The sequence below is a fragment of the Homo sapiens genome, chromosome 14 (genome assembly GCF_000001405.40).
Source record: "Homo sapiens chromosome 14, GRCh38.p14 Primary Assembly".
NCBI lineage: Eukaryota > Metazoa > Chordata > Mammalia > Primates > Hominidae > Homo > Homo sapiens.
The window spans coordinates 53,899,792-53,917,774 of record NC_000014.9 but is presented as its reverse complement, the minus strand read 5'-3'; the positions used below and the strand labels follow the sequence as shown (position 1 = coordinate 53,917,774).

The 17,983-nt window shown below is 40.4% G+C and overlaps 1 long non-coding RNA gene across 1 annotated transcript in view; it reads left to right on the top strand.

Moving 5' to 3' along the window:
• The first annotated feature begins 862 nt into the window (after positions 1-862).
• Positions 863-17,983, top strand: part of LOC107984676 (uncharacterized) — a 44,077-nt gene continuing 26,956 nt past the window's right edge. The window contains exons 1-2 of the long non-coding RNA XR_001750978.2: positions 863-1,069; positions 2,408-2,508. This is a non-coding gene — a long non-coding RNA (uncharacterized LOC107984676). The remainder of the gene's footprint in view (positions 1,070-2,407; positions 2,509-17,983) is intronic.

The window sequence follows — 17,983 nt, the reverse complement described above, 5'->3', positions numbered from 1 at the left end:
CCAAACTGGCTTTTCACCAAGATAACAGTGAGGGCAAAAGAGGGAGCCTCTGCCTCTCTCAAAGCCAAAGCTAAAGCAAGGGCTGTGAAGGCCAAGGAGGCAAGGCTGAGGTGTCTACAGCTACACACACACACACATACACACACACACACACACACACACACACCCCTACATGTCACTCACTTTTCAGCTGCCTGAGACGCTGTGGCTCCTGGGGCAGCTCAAGTATCCACGGAAGACAGCCCTGAGGAGCTTGACCACTTGGCCATCATCAAGTTCCCCTGACTACTAAGTTGTCTGTGAAGAAGACAGAAGATGGCAACACACTTGTGTTCATTGTAAATGTCAAGGCTAACAAGCATCGGATCAAGCAGGCCAGCTGAGGAGTTTGAACATAATGAAACCCCTTCTCTACAAAAAATACAAAAATTACTTGGATATGGTGGCATGTGCCTGTCATCCCAGCTAGTCAAAGGAGGTGAGGGGCTGGTCGACAGAGTAAGATCCTTTCCTTTAAAAAAAAGTATATAGAAAAAAGTACACCACAATCTTAATAATTATCTCTTGAGTGGTAGGCCATTGCATAATTTCAATTTTTCTTTTTCCCCATATGTAGCTTGCCGTTTTCCATAATAAAATAAATATTTGCAACATCAAAATAAGAGAAAAATTAATACATGATCACTGTGGAATATTTGGAAAAGATAGAAAAGTGGAATGTAAGAAAAAAGATTATGGTAGCCTGATCCAGTTTTGGCAACAACATTGTTGTCCGTTTCATGCCAGACTTTGCTTTCTGTATAATGTCTACACATTTTCCCAAATGACCTAAAGTTATTTTTGTCATTCTTTAAACCTGTAGGTATTATCTCAATGATCAAAAGCCTACAAACTTACCCCAAGAAATAGATTTCTGTTGTTTGCTGCGCTACACCTGAGGACTCAAGAGTGTGCTCCTGGGTCCAGGGCCTGCAAAGGCAGCATTTTCCCCTTGAGGATGCATATATGATGCCATTCGATTGATGGCTTCAGTCCAGAGCTGGCTACTATGTGAGTGGGCATTTGCCAGGTAAGAACTGAATGCAGGTAGGCAGGTCACATATTTCTAAGAGGTTTATTTTCAACATAGGAGGTACCAGTCCCTTACTTAGATAGTCTTCTAATAATTAGTATGTCTATATTTGTTCCCAAATCTATTACCATTTTTGGTTCCCTTTCATGTACAGTTCCTTCATTGTTCTTCTTTTGACCTCAGGTTCAAATAGAGCATTCTTTTTTTTTTTTAATTTTTAATTTTGTTTTGAAACACCGTCTTGCTTTGTTATCCAGGCTAGAGGGCAGTGGTGCAATTTTGGCTCACTGTAGCCTTGACCTCCTGGGCTCAAACAATCCTTCCACTTCAGCCTTCTGAGTAGCAGGGACCACAGTGGTGCTCACCATGCCTGATTAATTTTTTTTTTTTTTTTTTTTTTTTGTGAAGATGGGGTCTCCCTATATTTCCCAGTCTGATCTTGAACTCCTGGGCTCAAGCCATCCTCTTGCCTCAGCCTCCCAAAGTGCACTGGGATCAGAAGTGTGAGCCACTGCCCCTGGTCCAGTCTCACATTCTGGAAGCTCTCTGATATGGTTTGGCTGTGCCCCCACCCAAATCTCCTCTTGAAGCTCCTATAATCTCCACATGTTGTGGGAGGGACCTCGTGGGAGATGACTAGATTATGGGGGCGGTTCCCTCATGCTGTTCTTGTGATGGTGAGTGAGTTCTCATGAGATCTGATGGTTTTATAAGGGGTTTTCCCCTCTTTGTGCTGCACTTCTCTCTCCTGCCACCATGTGAAGAAGGACGTGTTTGCTTCCCCTTTTGCCATGATTGTAAGTTTCCCAAGGCCTCCCCAGCCTTGTGGAACTGAGTCAATTAAACCTCTTTCCTTTATGAATTACACAGTCTTGGGTATTTCTTCATAGCAGCATGATAATGGACTAATACACTCTCCCTAGTAGACGTGCTTGTGTGTGTGCCAGGCTTTTTTTTTTTTCTTTCATGTTTGTATCAAATTCCCTTTGGGCATCTCCTTGATAGTTCTAGCTGCTGTCCTCTCTGGCCTCTGACTGGTCCGCTTCTCCCATTTCTCTCACTGTGTCTCTAGGCCATTACTCTATGTCTCTGCCTCTGTCTTTCTCCCTTCTTCTCACTACCCAGTTTCTCTTTCTATTTAGACTCTGGGCATGCACAGAGAGGTCTGAAGGCATTGCTCACTCAAAGTCCTCGTGGTCAAAATATTTCTAGTGGTTCTACATCTGGTGCCAAATATCTGTGATAATATTGCTTATGAATATAAATTGTCAAGTGTGATGATTGTAAGAGAGAAAGTTATTTAGATTAACTTTGCAGTATCTTTTTTATTTGCAGAGAGAGGCAGTGTCATAACGGCATTTAGGAATGAACACTCTAGAGCCAGATAACTTGGATTTGAATCCCTGTTGTACCATGTTTCAGCTGTGGAACCTTGGGTAAGTTACTTAATTTCTCTGTGCCTCAATTTTCGTGTGTATAAAATAATAATTTTTTTTGAGACAGTTTTTCACTCTGTCTCCCAGTTGGAGTGCAGTGGCATGATCTCAGCTCACTGCAACCTCGGCTTCCTGGATTCAAGTGGTTCTCATACCTCAGCCTCCCAAGTAGCTGGGGCTACAGGCAGGTGCCACCACGCCTGGTTAATTTTTGTATTTTTAGTAGAGACAGGGTTTCTCCATGTTGGCCAGTCTGGTCTTGAACTCCTGGCCTCATATGATCTGCCTGCCTCAGCCTCCCAAAGTGTTGGAATTACAGGTATGAGCCACTGCACCTGGCAAAATAAGGGTTTTAATGGTGCTACTTCATGGTGTTGCTGTGAGGATTAAATAGGTGTTATAAAAGGATTTAGGGGAGTGCACATTGGGAGTGCTACATAAATGCTAGCTGTCCTCATTATGGGATAATTTCACCTCTCTAGGTCACAAAGATGGTGGTAGAAGTAAGCATTAGCTACAAATGTCAAACAAAAGTTGGGAGTTGAACCAGTTCCCAAAAGAGGATTCTCTGTGATATTGAATGAAAACTAGCTGTCAAGGCAGAGGGCCTCGAGTACTGAGATAGCAGAGGGGATGTTCCCAAAGGGTTCAAAACTTTAAGCAGCTGCCCCAACCAGCGTAGTTTCTTGGACAGCTTTGGCCTTGGTGACAACTGGGAGTATCAGGAGTCCAGAAAGCTGCTTGTTTCTGTCCTGTTTCATGTGTGAGACTGTGAGTGTGTATAGACATTAGAGTGAGTGTGTCAGTGTGAGAGTGTGCCAGTCAATATGTGAGTGTGAGATAGTTTGTATCTCTGCCTCTTTCTCCCTCCTTCTCTTATGTGAACTTATGGGAACCAATGGTAAATATAAATGCTAGCTGCACTCCCACTCACCATGGGCTGTTAGAGAGTGGGAGAGTATATGCGTGTGTGTGTCGGTGTGTGAGCATGAGTGTGAGAGTGTGTGAAAGTATGTGAGTGTATGTGTATGTGTGAGTGTGAGAGTGTATTATGTACGTGCATATGCATAAGTGTGAGTATATGTGTCAGTATGTGAGTGTGTGTGCAACAGTGTGTGAGTGTGAATATATGTGAGTGTGGGAATGTGAAATACATGAGTATGAGTGTGAACATGTGCAAGTGTGTGAGAGTATATGAGTATGAGTGTGTGAAATGCATGAGTGTGGAAGTGTGTATGTGTGAGTGTTCCATTGTGAGAATGTGTGAGCATGTGTGAGAGTGTATGTAATCAGAGTGGGGAGCAGGAAGGTGGGTTCTTCCTTTACCAATGCTCAGTGAGCTAGGAGGTCCATGAACAAGTGCATGTAAAATGACAATACTATTAACTAGGAGCTTTGGCCTTGCTTCTCAGTTGGCTCTTATTTGGACCTGGGAGAAAAATTATTGGCCAGGAAGAAAATGAACAAACCTTACTTTAGCTGTAGAAATGTAAACTCAAGAGCCTGAGAATCCCATTTTATCTTTCATATTTTGCTCTATTCTACCTGGTGAGTGGCTTCTACCCAAATGCATGATCTCATCATCATTTCCAAAGAGAGTAGAGGCAACAAAGGGATATTTAAGGGCACACATGTGATGGGAAATGAGCTCTTTCCACAAAATGCACCACTAATGAGGGCATTTCTAATTTGATCAGATACTTCTAGCATGCATCCATTAAAGGCAGTGGAATATGTTTACATGAATACCCTGTTTCCTTAGAGCAGTGCTTTTTGAGTCTTTCTCATCTGACCTGAGGATGCTTGTGCATGCCCTCCCACCAAACAAAAACAAAACACAACAAAAACCCAAGATACTGGCAGCGGACTGAGAGGAGGAGACTGGATCAGCAAAAGTTTGGGCCTAGGTGGGATTTAGCTACAGATGAAGTAGAGAAATAGGGCCAAAGGGATAGGCAGAAATTGGCCCTCATGCTAATTAGGAGGGCAAGAAGGTCATGGCAGAAAGGGTGCCCAAAGAAAGGGTTGTAGAAGGGTTCAGGGTATTGATTTCTTTTTCTCAGGCAAACATTTAGATAGTGAAACTTCAAAAAATTCCAGTTACCGCAACTCAAAAATCACAAAATACTTAGGAATATATTTAACAAAAAGCATGCAGGGACTCTGCTGAGAAAACTACAAACCATGGCTGAAAGAAATTAAAGAAGATCTAAATAAATGGAGAGACATACATGTTCATGGGTCATGAGTCTGATGGAGCTCACATATAGGTGCTCCCCAAATTGACGTGCAGAGTCAATGTAAGCCCAAAGTTCCAAGAGAATTTTTTTTTTATAAAAATTGATACATTGATAATAAAATATATATAGAAAAGCACAGGCCCTTGAATAGCCAAAACAATCTTGAAGAGGAAGTATTTTGCATAATGTAAATATTGACAACTAAACTGCTGTTATTTAATGATTTAAGCTCATTTGGGGAAAAAGCTAGAATACTGATATGGCCAGGGAGGCTTATTTTTTGTTCTTACTTTCTATGTGTGTTTCACTAGTGGTTAATTCCAAAAACGAATGCAGTTATAACTGCATTTGATTCTTGGTTGGCTTCCTTTTCTTCCTAATTCAAAAGTCAGAAAGAGTAGGGGTGGGAGGGAGTTAACACAACAGATGATTTCCCTGCGTGCTTCTGTTAGTTTCTAAGTGTATGGGTAAAAATTTAGCTCTAGTGTACACAGCTCTCTAAATTTACTAACAAAATCTCTGTGTAAATCTTTAAAGGTGGTTTATATTTATAGCTGCTTCCTAATGTTTCCCCCCTTTGGTCCTCTCTTTATACATGCTAACCATAGGGTTTAGAAAACTGGGACTGTTTAGAGAATGTTAGAGAATATTGGATTAAAGCCAGGATGTGTTAAACTTCTAAATGTAAATATCTACTAACAGCCCATGTTGAGTGGGAGGGCAGCTAGCATTTATATTTACCATTGGTTCCCATAAATTCACATTAGCTGGGCTGCAAAGTTAATTTGGATACAAAACTTGAATGGAGCTCCTTTACTATGTACAGTCTGTGAGTGGAAGTGAATGGTGATGACAGCTGCTAGAATAACAAAATTGAGGAGAGGAAAAAGGATAGCACAGCTCTCATCCCGAGCTCAATTGTAGCTAATTGGAGGACCAGTCTCCATATCCAGGCAGCTTGTTCTGGGCTCAAATGGCAGGCAGATGCTCTAAAGCCCTTGGGCTCAGGTATCTTATAATTGTGGATCCAGCCAAGGACAAATTTGATTTGTAGCCCACATTTTGACCTCTCTATAGTAGCGAAGTGCTGTGAGTTGTTCCCACTTTGCCCCTGTCTTTCAGATTGTTTCCATCACAGTCCCCCACTCCCAGTGTTGTCAATTTCCAGAACTACCTCCATATTTTACCAACAGTCCTTCAGAGATTGAATTCCAGAAAGAATGATGGGAAAGAAACAGGTCTAGAGAAGGGAGCACAGACTTGTTGTAAAGGTCACATGAAGCTACTAGTCTGTAGTCTATTTGGGCAAAAAATAAAGAACCTGCACTTGGGAGGTATATAGTTCTGAGAAGACCCTGCCTGCCCCTCCAGTGCAAATATTTATATAGATAAAGTAAAGTTAAAATGATCATTGAAGGCAAGTTTGAAGAGAAAGACGGTCATGAGAGCAAGACACAACCTACACTTGATATATATATGGAGATGGTATTTGGTGACAGCTGGGGAAATTTAAAAACTAATTGTGTGTTCTGAGCCTCGAAACTTTTCAGCTACTTGTTGTCTTTTTTTTTTTTTTTTTTTTTTTTTTTTTTTTGAGATGGAGTCTCACTCTGCCACCCAGGCTGGAGTGCAGTGGCACTATTTTGGCTCACTGCAACCTCTGCCTCCTGGGTTCAAGCGATTCTCCTGCCTCAGCTTCCTGAGTAACTGGGATTACAGGTGCATGCTTGTGCGAACCATGTTCAGCTAATTTTTGTATTTTTTTTTTTATTATACTTTAAGTTTTAGGGTACATGTGCACATTGTGCAAGTTAGTTACATATGTATACATGTGCCATGCTGGTGCGCTGCACCCACTAACTCGTCATCTAGCATTAGGTATATCTCCCAATGCTACCCCTCCCCCCTCCCCCCACCCCACCACAGTCCCCAGAGTGTGATATTCCCCTTCCTGTGACCATGTGATCTCATTGTTCAATTCCCACCTATGAGTGAGAATATGCGGTGTTTGGTTTTTTGTTCTTGTGATAGTTTACTGAGAATGATGGTTTCCAATTTCATCCATGTCCCTACAAAGGACATGAACTCATCATTTTTTATGGCTGCATAGTATTCCATGGTGTATATGTGCCACATTTTCTTAATCCAGTCTATCATTGTTGGACATTTGGGTTGGTTCCAAGTCTTTGCTATTGTGAATAATGCTGCAATAAACATACGTGTGCATGTGTCTTTATAGCAGCATGATTTATAGTCATTTGGGTATATACCCAGTAATGGGATGGCTGGGTCAAATGGTATTTCTAGTTCTAGATCCCTGAGGAATCGCCACACTGACTTCCACAATGGTTGAACTAGTTTACAGTCCCACCAACAGTGTAAAAGTGTTCCTATTTCTCCACATCCTCTCCAGCACCTGTTGTTTCCTGACTTTTTAATGATTGCCATTCTAACTGGTGTGAGATGGTATCTCATGGTGGTTTTGATTTGCATTTCTCTGATGGCCAGTGATGATGAGCATTTTTTCATGTATTTTTTGGCTGCATAAATGTCTTCTTTTGAGAAGTGTCTGTTCATGTCCTTCGCCCACTTTTTGATGGGGTTGTTTGTTTTTTTCTTGTAAATTTGTTTGAGTTCATTGTAGATTCTGGATATTAGCCCTTTGTCAGATGAGTAGGTTGCGAAAATTTTCTCTGATAAAACAGACTTTAAACCAACAAAGATCAAAAGAGACAAAGAAGGCCATTACATAATGGTAAAGGGATCAATTCAACAAGAGGAGCTAACTATCCTAAATATATATGCACCCAATACAGGAGCACCCAGATTCATAAAGCAAGTCCTGAGTGACCTACAAAGAGACTTAGACTCCCACACATTAATAATGGGAGACTTTAACACCCCACTGTCAACATTAGACAGATCAACGAGACAGAAAGTCAACAAGGATACCCAGGAATTGAACTCAGCTCTGCACCAAGCGGACCTAATAGACATCTACAGAACTCTCCACCCCAAATCAACAGAATATATGTTTTTTTCAGCACCACACCACACCTATTCCAAAATTGACCACATAGTTGGAAGTAAAGCTCTCCTCAGCAAATGTAAAAGAACAGAAATTATAACAAACTATCTCTCAGACCACAGTGCAATCAAACTAGAACTCAGGATTAAGAATCTCACTCAAAGCCGCTCAACTACATGGAAACTGAACAACCTGCTCCTGAATGACTACTGGGTACATAACGAAATGAAGGCAGAAATAAAGATGTTCTTTGAAACCAACGAGAACAAAGACACAACATACCAGAATCTCTGGGACGCATTCAAAGCAGTGTGTAGAGGGAAATTTATAGCACTAAATGACCACAAGAGAAAGCAGGAAAGATCCAAAATTGACACCCTAACATCACAATTAAAAGAACTAGAAAAGCAAGAGCAAACACATTCAAAAGCTAGCAGAAGGCAAGAAATAACTAAAATCAGAGCAGAACTGAAGGAAATAGAGACACAAAAAACCCTTCAAAAAATCAATGAATCCAGGAGCTGGTTTTTTGAAAGGATCAACAAAATTGATAGACCGCTAGCAAGACTAATAAAGAAAAAAAGAGAGGAGAATCAAATAGACACAATAAAAAATGATAAAGGGGATATCACCACCGATCCCACAGAAATACAAACTACCATCAGAGAATACTACAAACACCTCTACGCAAATAAACTAGAAAATCTAGAAGAAATGGATACATTCCTTGACACATACACTCTCCCAAGACTAAACCAGGAAGAAGTTGAACCTCTGAATAGACCAATAACAGGAGCTGAAATTGTGGCAATAATCAATAGTTTACCAACCAAAAAGAGTCCAGGACCAGATGGATTCACAGCCGAATTCTACCAGAGGTACAAGGAGGAACTGGTACCATTCCTTAATTTTTGTATTTTTAATAGAGATGGGGTTTCTCTATGTTGTCTAGGCTCTATGTTCTACCATGTTGGCCAGGCTTGTCTGGAACTCCTGATCTCAGTGATCCACCTGCCTCGGCCCCTCAAAGTGCTGGGATTACAGGCATGAGCCACCTCGCCCAGCCATCTACCTGACGTCTTAATTACCTTTCAGATAATCGGCAGGTCCCTGAAAATGCCATCACTAATATAACATGTGGCTCTGTAGGTACTTTAGAAATATGGCTTATAGTGGTGGTTAGGCTTATGATGTGGCACTGCCTGAGAAGCTATCTATCCAAACTGGGGCACAGCCTTAATGTTGCAGAGCTCCTACCACACTACGGGTACTGAGACACTTTGCACATAGTCAGTATACAACATCAGGCACCACTTCTGACCTCTGCAGTTGTTTATTTAGGTCATAGCTATTAACACATGGCCTTGAACATTTGATCTTTCACTTTAAACTTGGCTTTAAACCCAATTTTTTAAAATTGTGAAATATAGGAGATAACATGCATCTTTCATCATGCATTTTACTTACCCCCTCTTATGCTCTCTAGACGTGCACAGTCCAGTCCAGTAGCCACTAGCTACTTGTGGTCATTGAATAGTTGAGCTATGGCTAACCCAAACTTAAATGTGCTGTAATTATAAAATGCACACTCAATTCCAAAGATGTAGTGTAAAAAATGTAAAATATCTCATTAATAATTTTATATTGATTCCATGTTGAAATGATAGTATTTTGGATACATTGGGTTAAACAAAATACACTGAAATTAATTCGACCACTTTACTCTTTAAGGTGTGCCTAATAAAATTTTAAAATGACATATGTGGCTCACATATTTTTATGCACAGCACGGTTGCAGATTTTTAACATTAGAAATATGTAAAAAGATGGCTAATCAAGAGGCAAGGTTTGTTTAAAAGTACTCACTGATTCAAGACATTTCTCTCATTTAAACAATTTAATATTTATTCAAAACTCGGTGACCAACACAATGCTCACTGTGGAGGAGCTTACAATCTCAGTGGGTGGGAAGACATGCGAATGAGATGTATCCGTGTTTCGTTTTTTAATCTCAGACTGGAAATGAAGGGTCAGGTTTATAGCTACAGTGTTAACGATCATCCATCACACATCAGATGAGCAAGGGAAAAGTTACGAAAAGAGACACACCATGGGGCCATAGCGTTTGGAGCAAGGAGGAATCTTGGTGATATACATTCTAAAGCCCAGATTTTACAAAGCAAAGGGGACTGACACCTCGGTATCTGGGAAGAGTAAGTGACTTACCCAAGACCACACAGAATGAGGACAACAATTTCCAACTCAGGGCTTTACAAACTGCATCAACCCCTGTTATCCTACCTCCAAAGTGAGGTGGGCATTGAGGCAGGTCCATTTCAGTCAAAATGTCAACTAAGATGTAGAAAAAGTCTTTCCTTCTAAACTCTGCCTGAAAGTTCACTTCATTCTTCACATGTGGCTAACTCTGTTCAACCTGACTCTTGATCTTACATGGCAGCTATACTTTCCAACTGATCAAATTCTCTCATGGTTACATCGAGTAATGCTTCTAAGTGCATTCTTCACTATTGTATTCCTAACCGCAGTAGAAGTGAACCTCTGGGGCTCATCACAAGTAGAAAATTATTTGCATTTTTCTCCATAGTACATGTGTATATGCTATAATATCAAATGATGTCTTAAATATCTTTGGGAAAGCCTTTTCTATTTTATAGTTAATGGATAAGATCACTTTGTTCTGAAATATCATGATTTTGAAGTTTGGGCTGCAAAAAGGAAGTAAACACTGATTATCAGATTCAATATACACAGTTTTCCTTCTTTTTCTTGGTATCACAATATATCAAGAACTCACACTTACATGAATGAGTAGGTACAAACTTCAAATATTTTCACTTCTTTATGAAGTATGAGAGGTGCACAGTATGTTGCCAAAGTGTTAACATCACAGAATATTATTTTGCTACTTTTGTATGGAATTTTGCTGAATGTATTTTAATGCTGTGGGTTTTTTCCTGTGTGATCTGATAAATTGCAAGCTTCTCGAATCACTGGTCTTTCTCATTTATGGTTTCAGGAAAATAATTCTCAAAGTGTTGCTTTTTATGAAGAAAGATTTATTTATTTATCTTACCAGTAACATTGACTTTTAATCACACATACGTGATGATACTCCTCCTAAACAACTTTCTTCAAACAGCTCTAAAACTTTACTTTCAGCACATCAGTCAGGTGCAGATGAAGTAAAACACTCAGCTGTGCTTTGTAGTGTTTGAAAGCACCCAACATTGGAAAATGTCTGCTAACTAAGTCAACTTTGTAAGCACCCAGGCATTAAGACAAACAAGAAATTAATTTATCTAGTTTAGATTTTTACTCTTTGTTAAAATGTCTTCAGTTTCTGATGAGCATCTGGGTTATAGTTTCTGATGAGCTTCTTCTGATTTAAACATCTTGTGTATAGTCCAATATGCTTTCAGAATTACATTAAATATTGTTATACATTTGTGTAACGGGAGTGAAGCAGTAGGGATTGTTATTTGCTTTTGATTTCTCATCATCTGAACCTACTTTGTGCATTTGTGTAGTTTGCTACTGTGTGAGCTTTTAGCTCCCTGCTCCTATAATGGAAACGGAAGTTAGCCAGCTAAGGCATGGACACGTAATCTAAGCTTGAACAACAGGGTCTTCCAACCAGGGGTTTGAACCTAAGCAGTTACACAAAGAGGTAGGTGACAGTTTAGAATTAATTTAAATGGCATTAACAGCACCCTGTGTCTAGTGGTGGCTGGATCAGGAGTTGTGTGTAATGTCCATGATGATGGCGAAACTGTCCTTGCAGGGTGTTCCTGGGGATTAATTGCCCAGATCTCTTTGTTTCCTGCTTGTTTTCTGAATCTGATTCTTCATACTTTCTGTTGATTCCTTGAAATCTTCCCAATAAATTTCTTTTCTGTGTAAGTCAGTCATAAATGGTTTCATTTTCATCAAAGATTGGTTCACAAGTCTTCAGACCACTTTTGTTGACACATTTTACAATTCTTACCACCTCATTAAATACAATGAGAAAATTGAGTGACAAATTCTTTGGGGGTAACGTGTTCTTAGTGAATGATGCAAACTGAATTCTTCAGTACTGAAATTTTTCATTGTTTGTTGCTGGATTTTGTTACATTCCTTTGAATAATGTTGTGATTTGTTCTAGTGCATAGTGAAGTCACTCAGAATCACTTGGATACTTTTGAGCTTGCTTTTAAACCTTATCAGTGTAAGTCTAGAGCAATATTTAGTCTAGGGCTAATTTAACCACACTACTAAGGCAATATCCTCTGAGGATTGTTCCCAATATCCTGTGTATTATGAAGTTTTTTTGCTAACCTGAATGGGGCCAACCTGAACTATTCTCAGCCCTGTGTAAATGCTAGAAATTTGCTTCTTCCTTTCCTTTTCTCTGCTCTCAAGTAGTTTTCTTTCAGGCATAAGGAGGGCAGTAGTAAATGAAAACTTTACAGTACCCCTCTCCCACTCTTCAGAGCTCTCTGTCTGGCATTCTGCCTTAACTGTCTTGGCCTCCTGATAACTCCTGTCTCTGTCTCCCCACCTCAGTGAGACCATTAGATTGTGTTTGTTTCCCCATCCTGCCCTGCAACATGGAAACCCTCTTTAGGCAATAAGCTGCTTTATTGCAAGCCTCACCTTGTTTATTTCCCCATTCTCAGGGATCACAGTCTTACACTTCTTGCTGTCCGGTATCTAAAACCATTGTTTCCTGTATTTTGTCAGTTCTCTAGTTGTTTAAGATGAGAGTGCAAAGTTGGCCCCTGTTTATTTCATCTTCATTGGAAGAAAAAATCCTCTTCTAGGATTTGACTCTTAAGACAATAGGTTCTTTTTTAGTCTTGTCCACCTTTGTGCTGAAGCCGCCATGTAGAACTCATTCAATAAATATTTGTTGAGTGAATAAATAATGCAGAGTGCTGTTTTAGGATGGAGAAGAAGATCTTGTAGAGGGCTACTTCTCTCACTGTTTTATTTTCTTCAGACTTCACTACAGATGTCCAGGTATCTCTATATTTTTTCCTAGTTCATTTCACACTTACTAAAAATCTAAACTTTAAATATATTCTTCATCAGATATTTGTTATTAAGCACATTGTGAGTTAATATAACTTGGCGGACATAAGAATAACAAAATAGCACAACATTCATAATAATAATATTGGATATTACTGACAGATAATATATACATTGTGAATAAGGGCAATGCACAGATCAAATCATTAATGATTTATTCTTTCCTCAAATTGTAAAGTGGAGAACCAAGATTATTTTCATCCTCTGAACCCTAAATCTGCTTTTTTGAGCTTATTACAATGCGTAGTTTGATATACATCTTTCAAAAAGGTATTTTTAAAAAAGAACTGGGATTTTTTAAAGAAACTTGGTTAGGTATAAGCAAAAAAGACAAAAATGTAATGCTTCTTTATGTATCCATTCCCAGCTTCAACAATTATCAACCTTTTGCCAACATTATTTCTATCATTCCCATTTTTTTTTTTTTTTGCTAAAATGTTTTTTTAAAAGTCCATACATCTTTCCCATTTACCCATGAATACTCTTTTTGATTAAAAATCAGATTTAACCATGTCTAGATGTCTATACCAAGTTCTTACCTACTGTATGAGCTTTGCCTTTTAAAGTGATTCTAAAATTGAGTTGGTTTTAGAGGGTGCTAAAAAAGTGATGGTTTATATGGTTTTTGCTTAAATTTTTTTAACAGAAGAAACACCAAGATTTAACATTATTGAACTGCAAGGATAATAAACTCCAACTTTTAAATACTCATATAAGTAGTAAATTTCATATGTTTTTAGATTAGCTAGGATCACTGTTAGCCTATGTGGAGTGTGTGCAAATTAGACAAATAAAGCATCCCTTCTGGGCAGAGAAGCATAGACATTTTGAAGCTAATGAAGCTGATGTGTTAGGACCCCTCATTTGCATGATCCTCTTCCAAAGACCTGGAAAGGGACCAAGTGATGGCTCACACAGTTTATTAAAGATGATCAATGAAGGCATGGTGGCTCATGCCTATAATCCCAGTACTCTCAGAGGCCAAGGTGGGTAGGTTGCTTCAGTCCAGGAATTTAAGAGCAGCTTAAGCATCATGATGAAACTCAGTCTCTACAAAAAATACAAAAATTTGCTGGGGGTGGTGGTGCATGCCTATAGTCCCAGCTACTCAGGAGACTGAGAGGTGAGAGGATCGCTTATCTCCATGGGGGTTGAGGCTGCAGTGAGCCGTAACGGTGCCACTACACTCCAGCCTGGCAACAGAGTAAGACCCTGTCTCAAAAAAAAAAAAGGTTATCAATGAATTATTTGCCAATTGGAATATAGTCTGTTTTATGGATTTTGTACACTTTTTGGTCAACAAATACATTAGCTTCTCATTGTGAAGTTGCATTTAGATATAGTAAGCTATCAGTTTCTGGACTCCAAGTCACTAGAAAGATAAATCATATTTTAAATATAGAATTCCTTTAGTTATATTTAATATTTACAAAATGATCCTAACATTTCGTAATGTTTCAAAATGCTTTGAGAAATGCATTACAAGAGAATTATACTCAGGTTAGCTTCAGGATTAAGAATGATTGTTTTCTTTTTTTGAGGCAGGGTTTTGCTTTGTCACCCAGGCTGGAGTGCAGTGGTACTCTCATGGCTCCCGGCATTCTTGAACTCCTGGGCTCAAGTGATCCTTCCACATCAGCCTCCTGAGTAGGTAGTACCACAGGGATGCACTACCCCATCTGGCTAATTTTTCAAATTATGTTTTGTAGAGACAGGGTCTTGCCATGTCGCCCAGGCTGGTCTCAAATTCCTGGGCTCAAGTGATCCTCTCACCTCAGCCTCCCAAAGTGTTGGGATCACAGACATGAGCCACCACACTTGGCCAAGAATGATTGTTTTCTAATAAGGTATATTCACTATAAATGAAATGTTCTGAACATGGATTTCATAATGTCTTTTTTGGAATCAATCTTACTGACTTTGTTTTCACACTTCCTATACAGTAACTCTTAGTTTGCCGGAACGCTAGATAGCCAGAATATCCTATTTCAAGCCCAAAGAACAACAGAAACAACAAAAAACCACTGCCGCCCCCGCCAGGTTTAGTAATATGCTTTCTCCATTAACGTCTGATTATGTAGTCGAATAATTTTCTTTTCTAAAAGTTGTACTCCTCTCACCACAGATTCAGGTTCTACCTGCTTTAACCTCAAAATTGATTCTCAATGTTTGTATTAAAAGTCTGGTGTGATTGACTAATCTAATAGTTACCTTTAGGGATAAATGTTTTAAGTGTCTACTCCATAGTAAAGTAAATAAAACCCCATGTAATCTCCACTAAAGCCACCGCAAATTGTATATTGATAGTGTCTGTTTCCCCAACCAGACTGTGACCCTGGGGTGTGTCCTGAGGTTGTTATATTCCACTTTGTTTTCTCTGATTCATCCAGCCCAAGACTTTGCATGTGGTGAGCACTCCAAAATGTTTATGGATTAGAAATAAATAAACACATTTCAAACAGGATTTGGAGAGCACTTCCTTTACAGATGCTGTGTCAGGTCTCAGATGGCTCCAGCAAGGCCTTCCAGAGCTCCCTGCTGTGCACAGAACTGAAGAGGGATGGAATAAGAATGATGATCCTGGCTTTGCTTAAGGCCTGAGACTGAAATGTATGGGCCCTCTGGACCAAAAGATGGGGGTAGGGGAAGGGCATTGGGTGGAAGAGACTTGGATTTCCAATTATAACCTGATGCTTCCAGGTGGAGTTCTCATCTGGTTTTGGGCCTCATTTCCATATCTGTCAAATATGTGTATATATTGTGGGCTAGTGAATAAGGCAAGAGACCTGTGTTCCTCAAATGTTAATATGCACTTGAATTTGCTGGGCTTCTTGTTAAAATGCAGATTCTGATTCTGCAGGTCTTGGGTGGGGTCTGAGATGCTCTCTCTCTAGTGAGTTCCCAGATGATGCCAGTCTGCTGATCAATGGGCTACACATTGAGTGAAGAGGCAAGGACCTGTTAAATTCATTTCTGCATGTCTGATCATGTGAATGGAATAAAGCAGGCCCTCAATAACTGTCTGCTGAAAAAAAAAATCAACCAGTTCAGTATTTCATACCCAAATAGTACAGCTTTCAGGGCAGAAACAGGCCCTTAGTGGAGAGAAGGACTTTGAATTCCAAACCCTTCACTTTTAATATCGAAAGCCAAAAGCCTGGTAGACTGAGAGCACAGAGCTTTTATCATGTGCAGGGGGGTTGGGAATGACAGCTGGTTTCCAGCTTGAAAGGAAATATGAATTCAACTAACATCAAGGAAGAAAGGATCGGAGGAGACACAATGAGAGGTGAGGACGTAGTGGGTGCCTCAGAAGGGGTGCCAGCAAACTGTGTGTTCCGGGGGTTGAATCCCAGAGGGAATCCCAGGGCAGAAACGATAATTGCCCTAATTCCCAGGGTTTAGTAGGAGCGTGGAAGACCCACAGAGCAATGCCTGTGTAATGGATCAGTAAAGGTGAGGACAGCCTTGCAGAGTCCTGGACCCCTTTGGACAAGTTGAATTCACAAGATTAAGAGTTCCAGAAGTTTGGCTTGCGATCTAAGTTGTGTGCTATCTAAGTTAGCAAGAAATAAAGTATAGTGATTTTGTGTATCTGAGTTGCGTCAGTACATTTTAAACTTGCTCCAGATGTCTGATATTAGGCTCCACCTGAAGTGGAGAGGCAAACAGAGGGATGAAGTAAACAGAAGAGTCATGGAAAAGGCCAGACAGTTGTTGCGTGTACCTAGTAGCAACTTCCCAGGTGTCTTGCACCTGGCTGATCTAATGAATTGGATTTATCTGATTATAAACCTAAGCTTTGAAGAGTATGAAGAAATATTCTGCAGAACTCTAAGTTCTTCCTGGGTCACAAAGACCCTTAGGTCACCCTCAGTGATGGGGTTCAGATACACCCTATTCAAGAGAAACAAAGAACTGGGAGAAGATGCAGCAGCAGATTTGCCTTAAAGCAATCATGCTGAAGGGAAAATACAGAGTGCTGTTGTTTGCGCTGTTGTTTTTTCACTATGAACCACTTGAAACCCACATGCCAAGGTTAGCATTCATCAGCTTGCTTTCCCTCCCACCCTACCCCCAACAGGATCCCATGTTCTAGCCTCCTCTACCCTGACAAGATGAATGGGGAGCCTGAGAACCCAGTTTAAGCCATGCTGGACTCTCGCAGGCATGAGTCCAGTTGCAACATCTGGTGGCTTGGGAGGGGTGTTGGCCTGAAGCTTGGAAAAGTGTTGTGACACCCTTGTCCTCACGAGAGGCAGCCTGTTACCACGGCTTCCTCTGGGAACTCCTGCACCCCCCAGGCCGACAACTGTGGAAGCAAGTGGGATCATAAATCAAGTAATACCCTGACTTGGGGCCCTGGGCCTTCAAAATAAGTGGACTAAGGAATCAGTGCTCTGAAGAACACAGCCACATGATGGTTCTAATACTTTGTCTTGTTAATTTCTTCCAGCTTTGATCTCAGATTTGTCTGAAGGCTCTGGAACTCCATGTTCCGACTTGCATGGAGTCTCAAACTTAGCCGGTAACAGTGCAGATTCCCAGGTCTTGTTTCAAACCTGGTGATTAGCATCCAGAGGTAGAACCTGGAAAGCTTTCTTTCTTGCCTTTTTCTTTCCTTGTTCTTTTTTTTTTCTTTCCTTCCTTCCTTCCTTCCTTCCTTCCTTCCTTCCTTCCTTCCTTCCTTCCTTCCTTCTTTCCTTCCTCCTTCCCTCCCTCCCTTCTTTCCTTCATTCCTTCTTCTTTTTCTCTCTCTTTCTCTCTTCTTCCTTGCTTTTAAAAATAAACTTCTTTGGCCAGGCTTGGTGGCTCATGCCTGTAATCCCAGCACTTTGGGAGGCCGAGGTGGGTGGTCAGGAGTTCAAGATCAGCCTGACTAACATGGTGAAACCCCATCTCTACTAAAAATACAAAATTAGCCAGGTGTGGTGGCGGGCGCCTGTAATCCCAGCCACTTGGGAGGCTGAGGCAGGAGAATTGCTTGAACCCAGGAGGTGGAGGTTGCAGTGAGCCAAGATCATGTCACAGCACTCCAGCCTGGGCAAAAGAGCGAGACTCTGTCTCAAACAAAACAAAACAAAACAGAACAAAACAAAACAAAACAGCTCCT